General features: G+C 42.6%; 1 protein-coding gene and 1 long non-coding RNA gene across 3 annotated transcripts in view, besides 5 other annotated features; one reads left to right on the top strand and one right to left on the bottom strand.

Annotated features, from left to right (window-relative positions):
- Nucleotides 1-5682: 5682 nt before the first annotated feature.
- KDM7A-DT (KDM7A divergent transcript) lies at nucleotides 5683-8062 on the bottom strand. The gene has a single exon (NR_024451.1). It is a non-coding gene; the product is annotated as a KDM7A divergent transcript (long non-coding RNA).
- Nucleotides 7784-8707: an enhancer, noted in NCBI's record as "H3K27ac hESC enhancer chr7:139876416-139877339 (GRCh37/hg19 assembly coordinates)". NCBI's record gives its function as "activates a minimal SCP1, AML or CMV promoter by ChIP-STARR-seq in naive H9 embryonic stem cells {active_cell/tissue: H9 hESC(naive)}" and the evidence as "EXISTENCE:reporter gene assay evidence [ECO:0000049][PMID:30033119]".
- Nucleotides 7932-8361: a silencer, noted in NCBI's record as "silent region_18706". NCBI's record gives its function as "represses an Ori minimal core promoter by ATAC-STARR-seq in GM12878 lymphoblastoid cells {active_cell/tissue: GM12878}" and the evidence as "EXISTENCE:reporter gene assay evidence [ECO:0000049][PMID:35858748]".
- The window catches only part of KDM7A (lysine demethylase 7A), a 92238-nt gene continuing 76251 nt past the window's right edge, over nucleotides 8340-24326 (top strand). For both annotated transcript variants that reach the window (NM_030647.2, XM_047420879.1), the window contains exon 1: nucleotides 8340-8579. In NM_030647.2, coding sequence (NP_085150.1) covers nucleotides 8386-8579 — 194 coding nt within the window. In that variant the 5' untranslated portion in view covers nucleotides 8340-8385. The remainder of the gene's footprint in view (nucleotides 8580-24326) is intronic.
- Nucleotides 8402-8501: a silencer, noted in NCBI's record as "silent region_18705". NCBI's record gives its function as "represses an Ori minimal core promoter by ATAC-STARR-seq in GM12878 lymphoblastoid cells {active_cell/tissue: GM12878}" and the evidence as "EXISTENCE:reporter gene assay evidence [ECO:0000049][PMID:35858748]".
- Nucleotides 9142-9321: a silencer, noted in NCBI's record as "silent region_18704". NCBI's record gives its function as "represses an Ori minimal core promoter by ATAC-STARR-seq in GM12878 lymphoblastoid cells {active_cell/tissue: GM12878}" and the evidence as "EXISTENCE:reporter gene assay evidence [ECO:0000049][PMID:35858748]".
- Nucleotides 9332-9611: a silencer, noted in NCBI's record as "silent region_18703". NCBI's record gives its function as "represses an Ori minimal core promoter by ATAC-STARR-seq in GM12878 lymphoblastoid cells {active_cell/tissue: GM12878}" and the evidence as "EXISTENCE:reporter gene assay evidence [ECO:0000049][PMID:35858748]".

The following is a 24326-nucleotide window of genomic DNA, read 5'->3' as shown; positions in this document are numbered from 1 at the left end:
TAGTTTGAGGAATACTGATTGGATATTTTGTAGAAATGTCCCTCTATGGAAATTTGTCCAGAGTTTTTTTCGTGGATAGACAGAGGTAAATGTGCAACTTTTTATAGGAAGACAGTGGTTCTCAAATTTTTTCTCCTTCCACACTGATCACAAGTGTAGCGTACTCCCATGAGTAACATGTCTCATTAGATTAGGGAGAGAGGGATGAGAGCACAGCCCTCAGAGGATTTAGGAGACTCTGTGTATGTATATATTAGTCTAAAAAAGTACCCTCTCCATCTCCATTTAGAAGAACCAGCTAGACGCAGTGGCTCACACTTGTAATCCCAGCACTTTGGGCGGCTGAGGCAGGTGGATCACTTGAAGTTAGGAGTTCAAGACCAGCCTGGCCAACATGGTGAAACCGCATCTCTACTAAAAATACAAAAATTAGCCGGGCGTGGTGGCGGGTGCCTGTAATCCCAGCTACTAGGGAGGCTGAGGCAGGAGAATCGCTTGAATCTGGGAGGTGGAGGTTGCAGTGAGCCGAGATTGCGCCACTGCACTACAGCCTGGGCGACAGAGAATCTGTTTCAAAAAAAAAAAAAAATTACATTCTTATTTCATGATCCATTTGGGTTATAAAACTCAACAAAATAGTGGCCCCATAACATTTTGATCTCTGGAAGATGTGCAACTTTAGAAGATGTTATAACAAGAAAATAAACTATTGAGGTATTCAAAATAGGAAATAATCAATTATGAAAATATGATTTATTAAACTTCCAGCCAGACTCAAGAAAAAGTCTATATTCTTAAACTTTTTATTATGAAAAATATCAAATAGTACAATAAACATCCACAGACATATAATTATCTAGATTTAACAATTGTGAATATTATTGTGTTTGCTTCATTCATCTTTCTCCTCACCCTCTTCTTTTTTTTTGCTGCATCTTTTAAAGCAAGTGTGACATCATTTAAAAGCTTCAGCACGAGTCTTCTAAAAATGACATTCTTCTATAAACCATGATAATGTATCATGCCAAAGAAAATTAGTGTTTCCCTAATTTCACCTAACATCCAGATTATATTAAAATTTCAAAATTATCCCTCAAACTGTCTTTTATAGCTGATATTTTAGAATCAGGATCCATCAAGCTTCATGAATTGTATTATTTAGTTATGTTTCTTAAGACTTTGATCTAGAAAAATGTTCCTCCCTCTTGCCCTCTCTCTTTCTTCCTTGTTTTTGTTTTGTTTTGTTTTGTTTTGTTTTGTTTTTCTGAGACAGGGTCTTGCTCTGTTGCCCAGGCTGGAGTGCAGTGGCACGTGATCTTGGCTCACTGCAACCTCCTCCTCCTGGGTTCAAGTGACTCTCCTGCCTCAGCCTCCCGAGTTGCTGGGACTACAGGCATGCACCACCACACCTGGCTAATTTTTGTATTTTTAGTAGAGACTGGGTTTCAACATGTTAGCCAGGCTGGTCTCCATCTCCTGACCTTGTGATCCACCTGCCTTGGCCTCCCAAAGTGCTGGGATTACAGGCGTGAGCCACCACGCTGGCCATCTCATTCCAGCTTTGACTTCCCAGGCTTGATCCGCCTGCCTCTGCCTCCTGAGTAGCTGGGACGACAGGTGCGTGCCACCACGCCTGGCTAATTTTTATTTTTTGTAGAGATGGGGTTTCGCCATGTTGCCCAGGTTACACTCTTTGTTTTAAAAATGGCAACTTTTAAAATAAACTAAGCTAGTGGTTTTGTGAAATGTTTCATATTTTGGATTAGTCTTATTTCCTTGTGGTATCATACAACTTGTTGCTGCTCTATCTCCTGAATTTCCTGTCAGCTGGAAATTAAGTCTTAAGGTTTAATTATATTCAGGTTAAACATTTTTGGCAAGGATACTTCCTAAGTGATACTATGTACTTTATACTGTATCCTTTGTAATGCCTGGCTACATTGTGATTCACTGTCCTTACTAATGTCATTTATCTGCTTTGCTTTCCTTTATACTTTTTCACCACTTTTATTAACATTTGCGCTTTGAATGTGTTCAACATGACAGTCCTCCTTTAATAACATCTTAACCTCGGGCTGTCAGTTTAGAATTTTCCCAGCTCCTGGGGTAGAAGCAAAGATAATCAGGCTGTGAACAAAGCTGCTGAGCTCTGTGTGTTGGGTCCTGCTTCCCCGACTAGACTCCACTCTTCTTCCTCCCAGCACCATGATATACTCTTTCAAGACCTACTCTCCATAGGCAATCTTTTCCACTCAGACATTATCCTTTTCCCTCCAGCTCAGTAAAATTAAAATTTCTCTGTCCTCCTACCACAACTTTAGCCAGGCTAGTTAATTTGTGTAGTTAATCCCTGTTTCGTTAATCTGATGAACAGGTTACAGGGAGGATCAAGTGCTATGTAAGAACAAATCACTCTCATTTAATGCATGTCAATGGTTTAACGTAGCATTCCCAAGATATATTCCCAAAATATGTTTGTTTTCTTTCTTTCTTTCTTTCTTTCTTTTTTTTTTTTTTTTTGAGACGGATTCTCGCTCTGTCGCCCAGGCTGGAGTGCAATGGCACGATCTCGGCTCACTGCAACCACTGCTTCCCAGGTTCAGGTGATTCTTCTGCCTCAGACTCCTGAGTAACTGGGATTGCAGGCACCTGCCATCGTGCCCGGCTAATTTTTGTATTTTTTTAGAGATGAGGTTTCACCATGTTGGCCAGGCTGGTCTGGAACTCCTGACCTCAGGTGATCCGTTCACCTTGGCCTCCCAAAATGCTGGGATTAAGGCGTGAGCCACTGTGCCTGGCCAGTACGTTTGTTTTCTAAGGAAGAGAATAGCAGACGTGGTTGTGGAGATAGAGCAGTATCATTAGTAGTAGGAAGGAGAATTGTTAGTTTGGAGCAAACATTCCTTGTCAGAGAAATGAGGTTAAATGAACAAGTGAAGTGTTAAAAACAAACACAACACCCTAGATTTGATGTGAAAATTAAGAGAGATCTGCGAGTATTGGAGAAACCACAAAGGAGAAAGGGAGAGGGAGTCCCACGGTCATTGTCAACTGATGCTGGCATGGAGCTGGGTGTCTTTCTTCAAGATATTTTTCCTTTTGAAATTCTATCCCCCGCTTGTTTTTGAGACAATATTCTCCTAGTCTTCTGTCCTAACTCTTCAGCTGCTCTTCATAATAGAGCTGTCCTCTCTATTATTATTAATGAACAAGTAGCAAAATAATTATTCATAATTGCAGTTAGTAGCTATATGGCTTATCATATGCTAAGAATTGTGCAAAGTATGTTATTTTAGTGTACCCAGCCCTGGGAAGCAGATATGCTTACCATTCCCATTAAAATGAGAAAACTAAAATCCAAGTGTTAATAAGTTGTCACAGAGGTAGTAGGTTGTGAATCCAAAACCATGAGCTTAATTATGATGTATGGGGCTTGCCACTAAAACGTTGGCATCATCCAGAGTTCTAGCCTTAATCCCTTTCTTCCCAAGATCAAATCTTTGTGTTTACAATTTCTCTAACCTTTCCTTACAGATTTGTATGCCTTACAGTGTCTTTATTCTTTACTGATCTCTTCATGTACTTTTAAAAATAGCTGCATTTCCAAACTGGAGATTAATTAAATAGACTGAGCAGAAATGCACAGAAGTGATGCTAGTATTCTCACCAAATCCTATCAGATGGCACGTGATCTTGATTTGTCCCATTATTGATGGCACTTGATCATTTGATTAAGATGGTGTCTGCCAAGCTCCTTAACACTGAAAAGTTACTCTAGTTCCCTTTGTAATTAGTAAGAATTTTGTTGGGAGATACTTTGAAACTATGAAACTATTCCACTGCTTATCAAACTTTCAATTTATGTATTTCTTTACACTGGTATAGCTTCCTATATTATTCAGTGGGTTATAATACATGATTTTTTTTAAATGTTGAAGTACAATTTGTCCCTGATTTGGCTGGTGTCCTTTAGACATGCCTCATTATTCTTTGAGCACGTCCTTATATTCTGGTACTACAAGAAGTTCCAGGCTCATCCCGTACCCTCTTCTCCAGTCCTGGAATCAACTATTTTGCCAAGAAGAAAAATGAAGTGGAGAATGGTATTTAGAAGCCAAGACCTGGGCTAGCTGTTCTCATTGTTTTGTGGTGTCACTACTCCCAGATCCTCTCAATGGACAGGGTATGTACATATACACCTATATCTATTTCTACAAATAGTGATAGATTGATACCTCCATTACTAGCCCACCACCAAAGTTTCCTCTTATTTGTAATTCTCTTCCTGAACATTGAGAAACCTGGCTCCCATTTTCCTTAACTCATTGCCAGTCACGTGTCGCATAATGACATTTCCGTCAATGATGGACTGCATATTATGATGGTGCCCCATAATATTATGATGTGATATTTTTACTCTCCCTTTTCTATATTTAGAAACACAATTTCTTACCATTGTGTTCTAAATCCCTATGGAATTCAGCACAGTAACATGCTATACAGGTGTATAGCCTAGGAGTGATGGGCTACATCATCTAGCCTAGGTGTGTAGTTAGCTATACCAAACACGGTTGTAAGTACACTCTATGGTGTTCACACAACGATGAAATTGCCTAACGATGCATTTCTCAGACTTACCTCTGTTGTTAAGCAACACGACTGTATTTTTTTTTTTTTTTTTTTTTTGAGATGGAGTCTTGCTCTGTAGCCCAGGCTGGAGTGCAGTGGCGCGATCTTGGCTCACTGCAATCTCTGCCTCCCGGGTTTGAGCGATTCTCCTGCTTCAGCCTCCCGAGTAGCTGGGAATACAGGTGCGTGCCACCACAACCAGCTAATTTTTTGTATTTTTAGAAGGGACAGGGTTTCACCATGTTAGCCAGGATGGTCTCAATCTCCTGACTTCATGATCCACCCGCCTGGGCCTCCCAAAGTGCTGGGATTACAGGCATGAGCCACCACGTCTGGCCAACACGACTGCGTTTGATCAGTTCTCTTGTACACAACTGTATCAGTTTGTTCTTTCGTTGCTATAAAGAAATATCTGGGCTGGGTGCGGTGGCTCACACCTGTAATCTCAACACTTTGGGAGGCTGAGGCAGGTGGATCACCTGAGGTCAGGAAATCGAGACCAGCCTGGCCACTACTAAAAATGCAAAAATTTGCTGGCTGTGGTGGTGCACGTCTGTAATCCCAGATACTTGGGAGGCTGAGGCAAAAGAATTCCTTGAACCCAGAGGGCGGAGGTTGCAGTGAGCCAAGATCATGCCACTATACTCCAGCCTGGGCAACAAAGTGAGACTGTGTCTCAAAAAAAAAAAAAAAAAAAAAAGAAAAATAAATAAAAATAAATAAATAAATAAATAAATAAATAAATATCTGAGGCATACAACTGTAATCCCAGCACTTTGGGAGGCTGAGGCAGGTGGATCACCTGAGGTCAGGAGTTCAAGACCAGCCTGAGTAACATGGTGAAACCCTTCTGTACTACAATTACAAAAATTAGCCGGGCATGGTGGCAGGTACCTGTAACCCCAGCTACTCAGGAGGCTGAGGCCTAAGAATTGCTTGAACCCGGGAGGTGGAGGTTGCAGTGAGCTGAGATCGCACCACTGCACTCCAGCCTGAGCGACAGACCCAGACTTCATCTCAAAAAAAAAAAAGAGAAAAATATCTGAGACTGTGTAATTTGTAAAGGAAAGAAGTTTAATTGGCTCATGGAAGGCAGGCTGTACAGGAAGCATGATGCTGGCATCTGCTCAGCTTCTGGGGAGGCCTCGGGAAACTTACAATCATGGCTGAAGACAAATTGCATCATATAGCCGGGGCAGGAGCAAAAGAGAGAGGGAGGAGGTGCCACATATTTTTCAATGACCAGATTTCTTAAGAACTCACTCATTACCACGGGGACAATACAAAGTGGATGGTACTAAACCATTCATAAGAAATCCACCCCCATGATCCAGTCACCTCCCACCAGTCCCCACCTCCAACATTGGGGATTACAATTCAACATGAGATTTGGGTGGGGACACAGATCCAAGTCATATGGATAACCAATCTCTCATTGTTGCTGCTGCCTCCTGCTCTGCTGGGCTTCCTTCTTCATACCCCTGCCTAGTCCCTCCATGTTAACATAGCAAGTCCAGGTGGCCCCCAGAGGACATCCCACAACAGGCTGCTTTGGTGCTCTTTAGCCAGACTCCAACAAGACAGCTTTGCATGCCTTCTCTTCACTGCTGTATTGTCTCGACAACACACACCTTCAACAAAGTACATTTAAAAATACATTGTCTTTTTGCTCCATGTAAAACCTCTGTGAGATAATTAAGGCATTACTAGCCATATTTTTTCTTTCAACAGATCATCAGTGATCTAGTTCAGGAGAAATGGAGTGACTGGCCCGAGGTCACAGATTATAGAAAGCAGGACCTGAGTGCATGGGTCTTTCCACTCCAGCAATATGTGATGCCTATGCCAAAATTACAGTACCTTTTTTTCTCCAGTAGAAATATGTTTCAAGCTTAATCAGTGTGTGGTCAACTAATTTCCAGCCTTTCCTTTTCCCGCTATATATATGCCAAACAGTGATGTGATAGAAAAACGAATAGTTGCAGAATTGAGACACTTAAAAACTTCAGTTACAGCTCTAATATATGAGACTTCAGTCAAGTTACTAGCTTTCCTCAACTATAAAAAGGAGATTAGGCAGGACTTGGTGGCTCACGCCTGTAATCCCAGCACTTTGAGAGGCCGAGGCGGGCGGATCACTTGAGGTCAGGAGTTCAAACAGCCTGGCCAACATGGTGAAACCCCGTCTCTATTAAAAATACAAAATTACCCGGGTGCGGTGGCGTGCGCCTGTAATCCCAGCTACTTGGGAGGCTGAGGCAGGAGGATCCCTCGAACCCGGGAGGTGGAAGTTGCAATGAGCCGAGATCACAGCACTGCACTGCACTCCAGCGCGGGCAACAAGAACGAAACTCCGTTTCAAAGAAAGAAAGGAAAGAAAGGAAAGGAAAGGAAAGGAAAGGGAGGGAGGGAAGGAAGGAAGGAAGGAAGGAAGGAAGGAAGGAAGGAAGGAAGGAAAGAAAGGAAAGAAAGAAAGAAATGGAGAATTAGATCAGCGACTCTTTGCCTGGGGGTGGGTGACAGAACAACACTTCTTCCTCCCCTAACAAAAATTACCTATGGAGCTGTGAGGGCTTTCCCCACTGATAGAAATGCCAGCAGAAATTCAGCTACAAATACTCAATCCAATAATCCTTAACATCACTTCCAATCCACAGTTATGATTCCAACGCAATCTTTTCTATACAGTATTTGTCAGCTGTTTTTATTCTTCAGTTTATCATCTTATATTTGGCTCTCAATTTCACCCATAAATTATTGATGGCTTATTATACGCCAAGTACCCTGCGCTCCGCTTTTTGTGGTATCCCTCTTCGGAGCGAGAAGTCACTTAGAATTTTACCCCATCTTCCCCACTTGGGAATCGGAAGGGTTCATAGCTAAGTTTTGTTATTTATAAGCACGCCGGCTCTTCTCTATCCCTCTCTCCACCAACCCCATTTCAAGGTTGGTCCCTCCCAGCGGACGACAGTGATGAATTCCTCTTGGGGACAGCCCTCCCGCAACTAACGGTGGCTCCATCGACGCTCTGGTCTCCTTGCTGCTCGCTGGGAATTCGGGTGGGACGTTTTCCAAAGTTTGGATTCCACGGCACATTCCTCCCTCGGAAAGGCACAACCGGCTCGGCGTGTCAGCTCAGCTGGACTCACGCCGGTGCGGGGCCGCAGCTCCGGTTCTCGCTGGGCGGCTGCGGAGGGCTGGGCGATTCTCTCAGCGTCGCGAGGCGACCCGGGCAGCAGCAAACTTCTCCGCTTCCCCTCTTCGGGACGCGGCACCTCTTCTGCCCTTGAGCACTCCGCAGGAACTTCCCCCGGCCTCGGCTCTCGCTCCGAAATAACCGAGCCAGCTCCTCGCACGCTCCCGCCGTCCTCCTCCGGCTGCGGCCGCGCGCCCGCCGCCACCGCCACCACCGCGCGTGTCCTCACGGGGCCTCAGCTCCCTCCGCCCCCGCAGCCGCCTGCGTGCCCTTCAACAGCTCCCTCCGCCCGGCCGTCGCGGAGAGGAGCGGGGAGCGCGCGCCGGCGCCAGAGACGTGCGCGAGACGCACGGCCCCGCGCCGAGCGCCGGAAGCAGCCGAGTCTGGGCCTCGCGCGTCGCGCGCGCCTCCTCCCCCTCCGCCAGCCGCCGCGGCCTCGCGCGCGCGCACTGAGGCGCCGCCGCCGCCGCGGCTGCTGCAGGAGGCGGCGCTGGCTGGCGGCTGCGCTCGCTCCAGTCGGCGAGCGGAGTAGCGAGCGAGCGTGTGTGTGTTTTTTAAAGATGGCCGGAGCGGCGGCGGCGGTGGCCGCGGGAGCAGCAGCTGGAGCCGCCGCGGCAGCCGTGTCGGTGGCGGCTCCCGGCCGGGCCTCGGCGCCTCCGCCGCCCCCGCCCGTGTACTGTGTGTGCCGGCAGCCGTACGACGTGAACCGCTTCATGATCGAGTGCGATATCTGCAAGGACTGGTTCCACGGCAGGTAAATAAACCCCCTCCAGCCCCGCAGCCGCCACCGCCGGCCACCGACCAACCGCCGCCGCCGCCGGCCGCCCGCGCCTCCCTCGGGCCGGGCCGCCGCGCCGCGCCCAGCTTTCAGGGGGCCCCGGTGCCTAGCCCCCCGGCCGGGCAGTGGGGCGCGCGGTGCCCCGGGTTCGCCGGGCGGGCTCCAGAGGGGAGCCGGTGGGCTCGCCTGGCCCGGGCGAAGAGTCGCCACAACAAACACGAACAAAGAGGGCCGGCGGATAAGTTGGCAGGGGGAGCCTGGGGCGAGGGGACGCGGCCGGGCGGGCGCGGCGGGGGCGTCGGGCGGAGCGCCGGCCGGGTCCGCAGCCCCTCGCCAGCCCGGGCCGCCGCCGCCCCGCCCCGCCCCGCCGCGCCCGGGGCTCCGGCCGGAGTCGCCGGCCGCCCCGCCGCTCTGCCCGGCCGGCCGACGCGCCTGCCTTCCTTCCGGGCGGCGATGGGGTCGCCCCGGCCCCGCGTCTCCTCCGCGCCGCGGGTCCCTGTCGCGCCCCCTTCCCCGTCTTTATCAAACTTCCTGGGCCAGTGGGACGGGGGCAGCGGCGGGCCGGAGAGGCGACCGCGCCAGCCAGCTCGGCGGGGCTCCGCGGAGTAAACAGAGCAACAGATGAGGCACTCGCTCTCGGGGACTTGAAAGGTGCCGGGGAAGTTGGGGCCGGGCCCCCGGCGGGCGGCAGGTTGACCCGGGTCGCGGTCCTGGGCCCCCGCACACACCCGGGTCGCCGGGACTGGGGCAGATGGAGTGGGTTGCGGCGGCCCGAAGGGAACGCTTCTCCGGACCCCCTGCGTTGCCCTCGCGCCGCGGCTTAAACTTTACAAAGAGTGCAGTTGCCATCGCTCGAAGCTGGCGACACCGGGACCGCCTGCGGCTGTGCCCGGGCGCCGGTGCCGGCGAACTTGAGTCGGCCGGGCGGACGCTGCGGGGCCGGCTGGCGGCGGCGGCGGACGCTGCCCTCTGATTCAGCCGCCGCCGCGCTCCGGGTTTGACGTTTGAGAGCTCGGGCCGCCTCCGCAGCCAGGCCGCCGACTCGTGTGTTTTGTAATCAAAGTGTGAGGCTAATAAAGGGCGGCGCCACAGCCTCTTGACTCCGGCGTGGGAGGGATTCACAGGCATTTAAACAAAGAAACTAGTTGGGGTTGGGCTCCCAAAGTCCTTATTTGGGTGTTGTGGCAAAGCCTGCGGTCACCTTTAGTTGAAGCCGGTTTCCCGGGCCCCGTTTGGTGTTGTCTCTTGGCGAGAGCACGCTCACGAGTAATAGCAGATATGGTGACTGTGATTGTAGGAAGTGTCTTTTGATTGACAGCAGGACATTTAAATACAGCCTCCGCTCCCCCCCTCCCCAATTTTACAGAAACACTACAAGACCAGGCCAGATGTCTTAGTCTCCCTCTACTGGTCCAGGGAGAGAAAACCATGTAAATCACAATGTTCTTTGCAGTGTTTAGTGCTAGGTGTAGTTAAGTTTTACTTAATTTTCAAGTACAGTTTTACTTAATCAGTTTTCAGGCTAGCCGATTCTCACAACAGAAAACAAGACACAGTAAATTATCACTTTAAAAGAAAGGCAGCGTCCTCGTTTCGTATAATCTTTAGCAGTCTTGTATATCCAATTCTATTTCCACATCCTGTTTCCATAACATATTCTACGCAACTAGAATAAAGATTATCCGAACATTTAGGTTCTATATAGAATAAAATCAGAATCCCTGGTGATTATGTAAATGCTTATTTTTTTTCAAAGAACTATTTTTTGAAATTTGAGGCGGTTTAAACTGCATAAAAATTTGTCTCGCCAGGCTTGGTGGCTCACGCCTGTAATCCCAGCACTTTGGGAGGCTGAGGCGGGTGGATCACGAGGTAAAGAGATCGAGACCATCCTGGCTAACATGGTGAAACCCCAACATGGTGAAACCCCGTCTCTACTAAAAATACAAAAATTAGCTGGGCGTGGTGGTGCATGTCTGTAACCCTAGCTACTTGGGAGGCTGAGGCAGGAGAATCTTTTGAACCCGGGAAGCGGAGGTTGCAGTGAGCCGAGATCGCGCCACTGCACTCCAGCCTGGCGACAGAGTGAGACTCCGTCTCAAAAAAAAAGAAAAAAGAAACTTGTCTCATTATGCAATGCGGATTTGATAGGCTACCAAATTTTAGACTAGAATTGTATTTATCTTAATTTAGGTCACTTAACACTATAACCATGAAAAGCCCCAGGTATTTGATGGAGAATTTTGTAATACATGTAAGTATACACTTGTAAATAGGGAAATAGGAAATACAGAGGGCTTACGGGAAGGAGGGAGAGCAAGGCCAAAACAAATATGCCCTCTCTGCTTTGACACATAAATTTGTGTAACTTTATATCTGTGGAAGTGAGTCTAAAATAGGTTTTTTTGAGCCCAGGGTCTTTTTGACCATCAATCCTTGAAACTTATGTGGTTCAGATGTCAAAAGTTAGAAAATTTAGCTATATTGTCCTGCCCTACAAAAGCAGTATCTTTTTATTAAGTTTAATTCTTTTTCTTTTTCTTTTTTTTTTTTTTGGAGACGGAGTCTCGCTCTGTCACCCAGGCTGGAGTGCAGTGGCGCCATCTCTGCTCACTGCAAACTCCGCCTCCCGGGTTCAAGTGATTCTTCTGCCTCAGCCTCCCGAGTAGCTGGGATTACAGGTGCCCGTCACCACGCCTGGCTAATTTTTGTATTTTTAGTAGGAACGGGATTTCACCATGTTGGCTACACTGGTTTCGAACTCTTGACCTCAGGTTATCCGCCCACCTCGGCCTCCCAAAGTGCTGGGATTACAGGTGTGAGCCACCCTGCCCGGCCTAGTAAGTTTAATTCTTAAGTATTGGTAATTTGGACTCTGTATGTTTTTCCCGTGGTATTTACTCTGATGTTTACTGTACCATAAAATGAGTGATCGTTTTTCGGAACACAGCAAAATGTTCCTTTATATTAACTATTAAACAAATATCATTTGCTTCCATGAGAATTGACCCCTAAAGGACTAAGATGTATCTTTACCATGCTTAGATTTCATTGGACCAGAGGTGGTCCATCTGTAGAGGAGCAAGGAGGAGTAGGAGGTTGGATACAGAGAATTGCCATTGCCTGGGTAATTTCTTGTTAACTTTATTTCTTTAAGTAGAAGGACTTTTTAAACTGAGGAATCAGTGCATTTTGATATATATAAATTTTAGTTTATTCTGCCTGGCGTTTCTGACATAAGGAAATCTGAAAAGTTGTTGCCCTAATTTCTTGTGACAGGGAAGGAAGACCTGTCCTTGATGCTTTTCTGTCAGGCTGCAGGGTGGATGGAACCAGCGTCTTCCAGGTCTGATGCTGTCAAACTTTAGCTGCATACCAATTCCCATCTGTCCATCTCCCTAAGCCTTTTTGCAAGTGAGAAAAGAACACTTGCCAGGCAGGGTACAGTGTATAATTGAACTCTAGGGGCAATGGGTTGAGGAATTAACAGGATTTTGCCGGGAATGTTCTGTCTAACCTGGAGATACAGTTCTTTCTCCCTGAGTTCTTGGTGGACGTACCACTATAAACGTCTTTCCTGATAAGGCCCCGCTCCCTTATCTCCAGGCTAGATGTCTTTCTGTAATACTTTTATATCGTCATATGCAAAATTGCCTCACTGCCCTAATTGAATTGTATTAGAGTTTCTGTTTTCTTCCTGTTAGAATGTAAACACCGTTTATTAGTCTTTAATCGCATTTTTTAGTTGATAAAAGCAATATATTAAGGAAAAATCGGAAAGTACAGAAAAGTATAAAGAATATGAAAGTACGCATGTCTTCCAGTGATTACCACTATTTTATTAATAATGTGGTATGTGTATATGTATATTCTTTTTTAAAAAAATTGGAATTCTTTCTATGCATTCCATGTTACCTTTTGTCATTGATGTATACTTTTTCCTGTATCTTTAATGTTCTTTGAAAACATTTTTAGTGGCTACATTGTGTTTAATTTCACAGAAGTACAATATATTTGAAAATAATTACCCTATTGTTATTTACTTTGTTTACTACTTTTTTTTTTTTGAGACGGAGTTTCGCTCTGTCGCCCAGGCTGGAGTGCAGTGGCGCAATCTCAGCTCCCTGCAAGCTCCGCCTCCTGGGTTCTCGCCATTCTCCTGCCTCAGCCTCCAGAGTAGCTGGGACTACAGGCACCCGCCACCGCGCCCAGCTAATTTTTTGTATTTTTAGTAGAGATGGGGTTTCACTGTGTTAGCCAGGATGGTCTCGATCTCCTGACCTCGTGATCCACCCTCCTCAGCCTCCCAAAGTGCTGGGATTACAGGTGTGAGCCACCGCGCCTGACCTGTTTACTACTTTTTCTTATGTTTACTAATGATGGTATGATTGACATACTAAACAAATTATTGTGGTTATTTAATTATTTCCTTAGAATAAATAAAATGAGTTAATACATATAAAACACTTAGAAGAAGACCTGGCATGTACAATTTCTCAATAAGAAATTTCCTTGAACTAGTGTTATTGGTCAAAGGGTATAGATGCTTGTAGGCTTCTTGTGCCTATTGCCAAACTGTCCTCCAGAAAGGTTATGCCGATTTCTACTTTCACCTACAGTGTCCACTTTTAGTTCCCTGCATCCTCCCAATCTAAGGTATTATTAACCAGCCCCTACCAAAACAAACAAAAACTGTTAATCTGTAGATAAGTCAGTATTACCACCAAAAGACATACCCAAGCCTGTTCATGGCAGCATTTTTCATGTTGTCCCCAAACTGTAACAACCTAAATGTCATCAACAGTAGATTGGATATATTATAGTATAGTCATAAAATGGAATACCAAGCTGTAAAAAAGAATACACTATGGATGCACACAACATGAATGGATCTCACACATAATAAAGTTGAACACAGAAGCCCAGTACAAAAGAGCATACTGTTTGGCTCTGTTTATGTGAAGTTCAAGTACAGGCATAAGTGGGGCTAGGAGTCAGAATAGGGTTTACCTTTTGGGTGGGAATTGACTGAGAGGGAGTTTCTGAGATTCAGGACATATAAATATAAATATATATAAAATAAATATATATTTATAAATATGTAAAAATATAAATATATAAATACAACTATATAAAAATATATATATATAAATATATAAAAATAAATATATATTTATAAATATATAAATAAATATATATTTATAAATATATATAAAATATGTATATAAATATAAATATAAATATATATTTTTGAGACCGAATCTTGCTCTGTCTCCAGGCTAGAGTGCAGTGGCGCAATCTCGGCTCACTGCAACCTCTGTCTCCCAGGTTCAAATGATTCTCCTGCCTCAGCCTCCTGAGTAGCTGGGATTACAGGCACTTGCCACCATGCCCAGCTAATTTTTTTTTTTTTTTGTATTTTTAGTAGAGATGGGGTTTCACCGTGTTAGCCAGGATGGTCTCGATCTCCTGACCTCGTGACCCACCCACCTTGGCCTCCCAAAGTGCCTGTAATAGGTATGAGCCACCACGCCCGGCCATATTCTTTATCTTGATCTTGGGTGGTGGTTGTATGAATGTGTACAGATGTAAAGATTTACTGAGCTGCATGTGCACTGAAGTCTTTTGTTGTTGTTGTTGTTGTTGTTGTTGTTGGGGGATGGGGGTCTCAGTACATTACCAACCCAGGCTGATCTTGAACTCCTGAGTGCAAGCAATCCTCCTGTTTCAGCCTCTCAAGTAGCTGGGATTACAGATGTGCCATGCACCCTAAAAATTTGCCAATTTGTTAACTGACACAGTATTTTAAAATTTGTTGTTTCTGTCTTGAATGAGATTGCCTCTTGTGTTTTGTCATTGAGTATGATGTTGACTTTGGCCAAGAGTTTGTAGTGTACCAGGTGCTAGGAATATAGTGTATTTGTGCTAGAAATACAGCAATGAACAAAACAAAGTCCTTGCTGTCTTGTGACTTACATTCTCGAAGGGAAAGAGAGATAAATATCGAATCTCACTTATCGAATGTTTTACAAAGTGCTAGGCACTGTTCTAATTAATTAGATGTTTGGTTAACTCATTGAAGTCTCACAGTCACCTTGTTGAGTAATTGCTATTATTATCATCCCCATTTTACACATGAGGAATCTGAGAGTTAGGGAGTTCAGTAACTTTCCCAAGATGGAAAGGCTGGAAGGTGAGAGAGCTAGCATCTGAGCTCAGGCAGGCTGACTCCGGTGCTCATGCTGTCAAGGGGGTAGATGGTACTGAGTCTCCTCTTCCTCCTTGGCTGCAGCCAGCTTCAGGAGGAGGATTAGATGTGACTTGTCTGTCTCTATCTCAGGGGTGCATAGGTGAGACAGTTGAGGCAGGGTTCTGAAGAGACATGCCTGTAAACATCTTCCTTTTTTTAAATCAAAATTATTTTCTTTAATGTAAATATGTAAAATATTATAACTGCCTTGGGGACACATTATGTATAAAATATTTATTTGAAAAGTTTTATAATTTAACTCCGCTTTCATCCTTGTTATATAAATGGATTTTTTTTATTAGAGTGTATTTTGACTTCTTAAAATTGGTTAGGGATAGGAAATATTTTACAAATTTGTTTAATATACATTTCACCTTCATGATTGGTGTCATAAACTTATTAGGTGAATAAGTATCTTCCTATAAGAAAACAAAAAGCTCATTTATTGAACTTCTCAATTTCATTGTTTTGATATGACCGTTTATTATAGAATAATGAGTATTTGTGTGTTTCACTTATAAGAGTTTTATAATTTATACACAATTTTGCTGTTTGAACAAAATATGTTGTGATTATGGGAGGCTTATCTCAGGCTACTTGGAGGCATGGGACATAGTTCTCTCATAAGCTTTTTAAAAACCATTAGTTAGGTTGGACACAGTGGCTCACGCTAATCCCAGCACTTTGGGAGGCTGAGGCGGGCGGATCACAAGGTCAGAAGTTCGACACCAGCCTGACCAACATGGTGAAACCCTATCTCTACTAAAAATACAAAAATTAGCTGGGCATAGTGGTGTGCACCTGTAATCCCAGCTATCCGGGAGGCTGAGGCAGGAGAATGGCTTGAAACCGGGAGGCGGAGGTTGCAGTGAGCCGAGATCACGCCACTGCACTCCACGGTGGGCGACAGAGCGAGACTTTGTCTTAAAAAACAAAACAAAAAAACCCCATTAGTTTGGGGTATATTTCTGCTTGGAATGCTCTCCTGTTCTGTATTTTTCGGTATGAAATCGAGTTTTCTGATCATCCAAGGGGAGGAATGCTTTTATTTTTGAAGATTTGAAGTGGAGGCTTATGAGTAAGAATAGAACAGGTATAGAAGAATTTGGTTATAAAAGTGAGCATTGGTTGATTTGAGCAATTTAAATTTTGAGATAATTTGTGCAGCCTTTGAACAGCCAGTGCTAATCTTAACAACTACCACCAAGTTTCTGGTCTTTTTTGAAAATTACATTTTATTACTGTAGTGATTATTTATTTTTTCCATTAATGAAAAGGTTATTTTTCCCATTAACTGTAGGTTGAGTTAATGGTAACTTGTATGATTTTCGTGTCTATATGTGTGAGCCCTGTTTCCTTTTTATTGGAGAATAGTGTTAGAAACCAAGGTCTGGTATTAGTGGGCTCATTGTTTCTAGGCCTTCTCAGAGGACAGAGCTAGGAAATACACTAATTGCACACATGCACACACATTTGTCTTTGTTTCTGTCTGTATATATTACGAACTGTAAGTTTCATAATGATATCTTTGATTCTAATATAACACCACAGGATTCATTTTAGCTTTCCCCTTTCCTTACTTGTAACTTTTTTTGTACAACAGTGAGAAACCTAGCTGTCATTATCTACAACATATTTGTTCAATCCTGTAAAGTAGTCCAAGAATTTGCTAACCTATATTTTTGTGAGAAACAAATTTGCTAGCTAGATTACAGTATTTGTGTATATAGTACTTCTTTTTTGCCTTTGGCCTTAGAGTATCTAATCAGAATATTGTTTTCCAAAGTTACTTAGGTCAATTCTTTTCACCTGACTTTAATGTATGTCATTTACTGACAGGTTCATTTGTTACTGCTTGTATTACATTTTGATGCCTCCTACATCCAGTTTTTTTTTTTTTTTGAGATAGAGTCTTGCTCTGTTGCCCAGGCTGGAGTGCAGTGGTGCGATCTTGGCTCACTGCAGCCTCGACCTCTCAGGCTCAGGTGATCCTTCCATCTCAGCCTCCTGAGTAGCTGGGATTATAGGCATGTGCCACTGTGCCCGGCTAATTTTTGTATTTTTTTTGTAGAAACAGAGTTTCACCATGTTGGTCAGGCTGGTCTTGAACTCCTGACCTCAGGTGATCTGCCCACCTTGGCCTTCCAAAGTGCTGGGATTACAGGTATGAGCCACCACGCCCGACCTTGTATTGAGATACAGCTTCAGGTTAGATTGCTAAAAGTGGGATTGCTTAGTTAAAAGATAAATGTATATGTTGTTTTATTAGGATTGCTAGATTTCTCTCTAGAATGGTTGGACCAGTTTGCATTCCCACCAACAGTGTGAGAGTGCCTTTTTCTCTAGATCCTTGTCATCAGGATGTGTTGTCATGTTTTTAATCTTTGTCAATCCAGTAGATGGAAAATGGTATCTATGTTTTAATCTGCATTTGTCTAATTATAAATGAGTTTGAACATTTGTTTTTTCTTAGTTTTAGGACCATATTCTTTCAAGAATCATCTGGTTACATTTTTTTTTCTGATTCTATCAAGCTTTTAGTCCTTTGTCCCTCAATATTTAAGGACTTTTTACATATTAGGGGTACTAGCTGTTTGTGGTAAATGTTCTAAGTATTCTCTTCCAGCTTTCAGTTGTCTTTTGGTTTTGTTTATGGTAATTTTTTTGCCATGCAAAATTTTTTTTAAGAAATATGTAGTCATATTTATTAGTCTTTTATTGGTTCTGGATTTTGAGTCATAATTAACAATCCTTTCTCTACCTCAAGGTAAAGAGAATTTTTTCCTGTGTTTTTTTCTAATACTTGTGTGGTTTTATTTTTTAAGCTTCTAAATGGATCACTAATCCATTTGGATTTTATTTTTGTATATAATATGAAATATAAATAGAATTTTTTCTAAATAAAAAGAAATTGTCCAGTTGTCCCAGTACTATTTATTGAAATGTCCATTTGTCCCAGTGACTTCAGATGCCAAAACATATTTATATATAATAGTCATATGTCAAAGATTCTGTATATACTTGGGTCTGTTTCAGCACTTTCTGTTTTATTCCACTGGTTGATTTGTCCCTTGATGTTTCAGCACCACAGTGTTTTAATTACAGAGGCTTTTGTAGTATGGTGTAAGTCTGGTAAGGCCTGTCCCATCCTCTTAGTTTGTTGTATTTGTTTTCAGTGTGTTTCTGGTTATTCTTGCAGATTTATTTTTTAATATGAACTTTAGTATCAACCTGTCTAATTTTATTCAAAAGCATTGTTGGGATTTTTATTAGGGTTACATTAAACTTATGAGAGCTGATATGTTAATAATATTGAGTCCTTCTCTCTGAGAATAGTATTACCTCTTTTATTTATTTTATTTATATCTACTTTTGTGTCTTTCAGGTGTGTTTTTAATTTTTCTTTGTATAGATTTTACACATTTTTAAGATTATTCCTAAGTAATTTTCTTTGTTAGTATTATAAATGAGATTTTCTTTACCATTTGTTTGCTGTTGGTTATTGTTTGCTGTTGGTTATTGTTTGTTTTTTAAATGTTACTTTTATATTCTACTACTTTGCTGAAAAAAATTATTTGAGTTGTATTATCACTTAGGGAACTGATATGTAATATACAAATAGAGAGTTTTAGTACTTCTTTGCCCATTCTTATGCCTCTATTTGATTTCACTTATATAATTGCACAGGCTTATACCTCTCGTATAGAGTTGAATAGTGGTAGATCGTGGGTATGCTTGCTTTGTTCCTGATTTTAGTAGAAATGCCTCTAATATTTCCTCATTAAGGAAGATACTAGCTTTAGTACTAATTTGTCGTATTAAGACAGTATTCCTCCAGGTGCAGTGGCTTATGCCTATAATCCCAGCACTTTGGGAGGCCAAGGTGGGTGGATGGCGTGAGTCCAGGAGTTTGAGACTAGCCTGGGCAACATGACGAGCCTCCGTCTACAAAAAATACAAAAATTAGCTGGGCATTGTGGGGAGTGCCTGTATTCCCAGCTACTTGGAAGGCTGAGGCGGGAGGATTGCTTGAGCTTGGGAGGTTGAAGCTGCAGTGAGCCATGATCCCACCAGTGCACTCCAGCCTGGGTGACACAGTGAGACCCTGCCTCAAAAAAAAAAAAAAAAAAAAAAGGAAAAAAAAGTATTCCTCAATTTTATGTACGTAGTTTTATCATGAATGGATGTTGAGTTTTATCAAAGGCTCCTTCAGCATCTGTGGAGAGAATCGTATAGTTTTCTTCCTTAGATCTATTAATATGCATATACAGTAGTGTGTCCCCGCTTATCTGAGGGAGATATGTGTTCCAAGACCCCCAGTGGATGCCGGCAACTACGGATAGTACTGAACTCTGAGTATACCATGTTTTTGCCTATATATACATACCCATGACAAAGTTTAACTTATTAATGAGGCACACAGTAAGAGATTAACAACAGTAACTGAATAAAATAGAACATTACAACAGTGTACCGTAGTAAAAGGTATACAGTGTGGCTGTAACTTTTGCAGTTTAAGGTGCAGCAGCAAAACTAGCATGAATTTCTTTTGCCTCCTTCACAATTTTATAGATAGAATTGTTCTTACCATAGAGCTTAGGAACTCAACATACTGTTTTTTTTTCTTTCCTTACTTTTCACTTAAAGGAAGCACTTTATGGTTTCTCTTTGGCATATCTGCATTGCCAGCATCACACCAGCCTCACTGCTCTTGTGCTTTGGGGGCATTATTAAGTAAAATAACGGTTAGCTGAACACAAGCATTGATACCCCGACAGTTGATCTCATAACTCAGAGACTTGTGGGCAGGTAGTAAAACAGTCTGGATACACTAACAGAGGGATGATTCACATCCTAGATGGGATGGTGCAAGATTTCATCATGATGCTCAGGACGGCAGGCAGTTTAAAACTTAAGAATTGTCTGTTTCTGGAATATTTCATTTAATATTTTTGGACCTTGGCTGACCACTGGTACCTGAAACCTTAGAAAGTGAAACCACAAATAAGGAGGGGACTACTGTAACATACTTTTAAGTGTAGCTTATCATTAGCTACTGTGAAGAACAACCTGGTGGGAAAATAGCCCTAACTACTTGGTTTACTATTGGATAATTAAGTTGTATCTTAAGGATGCTTTGTAGCTAAATTTTAAAATATTGTTTCTAAATTTTTAAAAAACACCACTGGCTCTGGTAGTTTTTAGAATAAAAGAAAATCAGCAAATATGAGTGACATAGAATAACAAACACTGAGCAGGTAAATGTATATAATAGGAGTCTCTAGAGCATTAATGATCCAGGCATTTCCCCAAAGCAGCATTTTCTAACCTGTGTTTTGTGAACCCCAGGGATATAAAGTATCCTGAGGTTCACTTATTTTAATTTGTCTTTTAAAAAGATGGTGAGTATTTTCCTTTCAAAATCGATTAGTTTGAGGACTTCTGAGGGTATATGAGCAAGCATACATGGCATTGTTGGTGGAAATCAGTCACCTGATTATCATTCAACCGAATGTTGCCAGGCACCATGGTCTTCTTGACTTTTAATTTTTCTTAAAGAGAAGATACCAGACATATGCAGAAGTAGACCGAATAGTATCCTGTGCTTCCAGGTTCAATAAGCCTGCTTCAGTGAGTATCAATTCACTGCCAGTTTCATTACTACACCCTTACCTGGCTACTTTGAAGCAAATTCCTGATACCATATCATTATATCTGTGAGTATTTCAGCATGTAAATCTAAAAGATAAGGCCTCAATTTTAAAAACCTGTAATACCTTTATTATAATTAAAAATAGTTAACAGTTTCTTAATAACATTAATATCTACTGTCCAAATTTCTAGTTGTCTCAAAAATGTCATAATTTTTTTCACTATTTGTTTGAATCAAGATCTAAATAAGGTTCACACATGTGATTAGTTGCTACATCTTGTAAGTTTCTTAATACATAGCAGTGGTTCTCAACTAGATGAGATTTTTGTCTCCCAGGGAACACCAGTCAATGTCTAGAGACATTTTTGATTTGGGAGTGGCAGAGTGGTTGCTACTAGCAGCTAGTAGGTAGAGGGCAGGGATGCTACTAAACATTCTGCACTGGTTAGCCCCCACAAGAAAGAATGATCTAGTCTAAAATCTCCATAGTGTTGTTGTTGAGAAACCCTGATCTATAGGTTTTTCTTTCAGGTCTTTAACCCTCCCCCCGTCCTTGCAAACTCTTTGTTGCACAAAGTGGTTGTTTATCCTAAAAATTCCCACTTTCTGGATTTTGCCGATTACATCCCTGCAGAATCTTTTTGCTTCTCACTTTCCTATAAATTGGTAGTTGGCTTTAGAGAAGCTTGATCAGATTCAGGTCCCCCTAAATCCCCGAAAATTTCACAGGAGAGTGGTGTAGATTTCTATCAGGAACCTAAGCAGAAGGCATAAAATGTCTGGTTGTTTCTCTTTTTGTCATGCTGGCTGCCATTGATCAATGCCAATATCCATTCATGGCAGTTGCAGAATGATACCTTTATCATTATAATTATAAAATGTTATAACTGATAATTAGAAAATTTCTTTTTGATTTGTTACTTGTACTACTATAAAGAGAAAATTTTCTTTTATCTAGTCTTTGGTTACCTAGTTGTACAGTGTAGGAGAGGCAAAATTAAATGCTTGATTCTTTTCCATTATCACTGATTTTTTCAGTTAATTGATTAATTAGCATCCTCATTATTAAAGGATGAGAAATATTTAAAGGAATATAATTTAATATGTAATATTGAGCAATATAGAGAAGTTGAAAGACAAATATATAGAAAGGTCCATGTTTCCTTTGACCATATAAACTGTCATTAAAAAAACAAACAGAAAAATAGAACAAAACAAAAACAATCTGGTAAGAGGGCCAGGCACTGTGGCTCACACCTGTAATCCCAGTGCTTTGGGAGACCGAGGCAGGAGGATCACCTGAGGACAGGAGTTTGAGACTAGCCTGGGAAGTGTAGCAAGACCTCCATCTCTACAAAAAATAAATTAGCTGGGTGTGGTGGCATGTGCCTGTAGTCCTAGCTACTCGGGAAGCTGAGGCTTGAGTGCAGGAATTTGAGGCTTCAGTGCGCTAAGATTGTGTGATCTTGCCACTGTACTCCAGCCTGGGTGATAGAGCAAGACTGTCTGTTAAAAAGACCTGGTGCCAGGCATGGTGGCTCACACCTGTAATCCCAGCACTTTGGGAGGCTCAGGCAGGTGGATCATGAGGTCAGGAGATTGAGATCATTCTGGCTAACACGGTGAAACCCCGTCTCTACTAAAAATACAAAAAATTAGTCGGGCATGATGGCGGGCACCTGTAGTCCCAGCTACTTGGGAGGCTGGGGCAGGAGAATGGCGTGAACCCGGGAGGAGGAGCTTGCAGTGAGCCGAGATAGTGCCACTGCACTCCAGCCTGGGTGACAGAGCGGGACATTGTCTCAAAAAAAAAAAAAAAAGGAAAGAAAAGCAAAAATCTTACTTTTTATTTATTAAAATATCCTGGATATCTCAGAGAGCTTCTCATATCAGCATGTACAGATATCTCATTCTTTTTAGTAGCTGCATAGAATTCTATTCTGTGGATTTACCACAATTTAACTGGTCCTCTCTTGATGGATTCTTGAGTTGGTTTCTCTTTTGTTCTTACTACTTAACAGTGCTGCAGGATATATATTTTTGTGTGTATGTTTATCTTTATTCTTGGCGAGCATTTGGGTATCCTTATGGTAAGTTTCTAGCATTATCCATTTTGAAATTGTTTTTATCTGTAGTCATAGTTTAAAATTCATGTTCTGTTGATCAAAGACAAGTGTAAAGAACACTGATAATGAAATAGAAGTTTGAGCTTAAATATACAAATTTAAGATTCTTATTTACTGGGGCTATAAGTTGCATTCATCTTAACACAAAAATCAATGTCAGAGAAAATACAGTGATCTTATGTCCAGTTTATATTTTATTATGGGGAAGAGGGATAAAACAGTCTCAATGTTTTGTTAACATATTCTTCCTTTATAATTTAGAAATGCCATTTTTCCTTGAGCACAAAACATAGGAATTTCAAACATCTAATATGGACTCCTGTTTATCAGTTAGTAATTTTTTTTTTTTTTTTGGGAGACTGAGTTTCACTCTTTTTGCCCAGGCTGGAGTGCAATGGCGCAATCTTGGCTCACCACAACTTCCGCCTCCTGGGTTTAAGCGATTCTCCTGCCTTAGCCTCCCGAGTAGCTGGAATTACAGGCATGTGCCACTATGCCCGGCGAAATTTGTATTTTTAGTAGAGATGGGATTTCTCCACGTTGGTCAGGCTGGTCGCAAACTCCCAACCTCAGGTGATCCGTCTGCCTCGGCCTCCCAAAGTGCCGGGATTACAGGTGTGAGCCACCATGCCTGGCCTATCAGTTAGTAATTATAACAGTTTGATGTGTGCAGTAAAATCATGAAGTTGTGAAAGCTGGGGGAACTTATACCATTGTAGATAATTTGGTATTTTTAATGTGCAAAAACTGTTGTCAGGTGAGTATTCACTGTTTCACAAAGAAACTGGAATGTGGTCCAGTGTAGACCTTTTGATATATACAGTATCCCTTGAATACTTTAATATTAATAAATATCAAATGGCTCACGCCTGTAATCCTAGCACTTTGGGAGGCCGAGGCGGGCGGATCACGAGGTCAGGAGATCGAGACCATCCTGGCCAACACGGTGAAACCCCGTCTCTACTAAAAATACAAAAAATTAGCTGGGCGTGGTGGCACACGCCTGTAGCCCCAGCTGCTCGGGAGGCTGAGGCAGAATTGCTTGAACCTGGGAGGCAGAGGTTGCAGTGAGCCGAGATCACGCCACAGCACTCCAGCCTGGGTGACAGAGCGAGACTCCGTCCCCCCCACCGTAGAAAAAAAAAACAAAAAAACGAAAAAACAAAACTAAAAAAGAAAATAAAATGGTCATGGAGATGTGACCTGGATATATTTCCATTGTCTGGAACCCTACAGAATAGTTTTAAAAAAAGAACAAAGGTCAGAACATGAAACAGTTTTGGTAGCATTTTAACTGAGCTGGTCAGTGATGTATGGGACCACTGGTATCCTTGAAACAGGGGCTTTCTGGCCAGTTTCCATCAATGGTTTTGGAAACTTTCTGTGGGGACCACATGGGAGTGTTCCTCTCCAAGGACTGGGTTTGTGGGTTCATGGGTTTTTCCTCTTCTGTGTGAACTGCCAGAGTGCCTCACTTGTCACATATGCTACAATGTAGACATGTGGTTAGTCTTTTTTACTTTATTACTTTTTGAAGGAATCATGGGTTGTAAACTATATGCAGATTATAGGAATTTTATAGTCTTTTTACGTAATTTAACTTGTCACAGGTCTGATTCATATTCCTCTCTTACATTCTTCCTATTTCGGTACTTTTTTGAAGGCTAACTTTGTGTGCCTGTTGTTTTGAGTCA

Source organism: Homo sapiens, chromosome 7 (genome assembly GCF_000001405.40).
Source record: "Homo sapiens chromosome 7, GRCh38.p14 Primary Assembly".
Taxonomy (NCBI): domain Eukaryota; kingdom Metazoa; phylum Chordata; class Mammalia; order Primates; family Hominidae; genus Homo; species Homo sapiens.
This window is presented reverse-complemented; position numbering and strand designations above follow the sequence as displayed.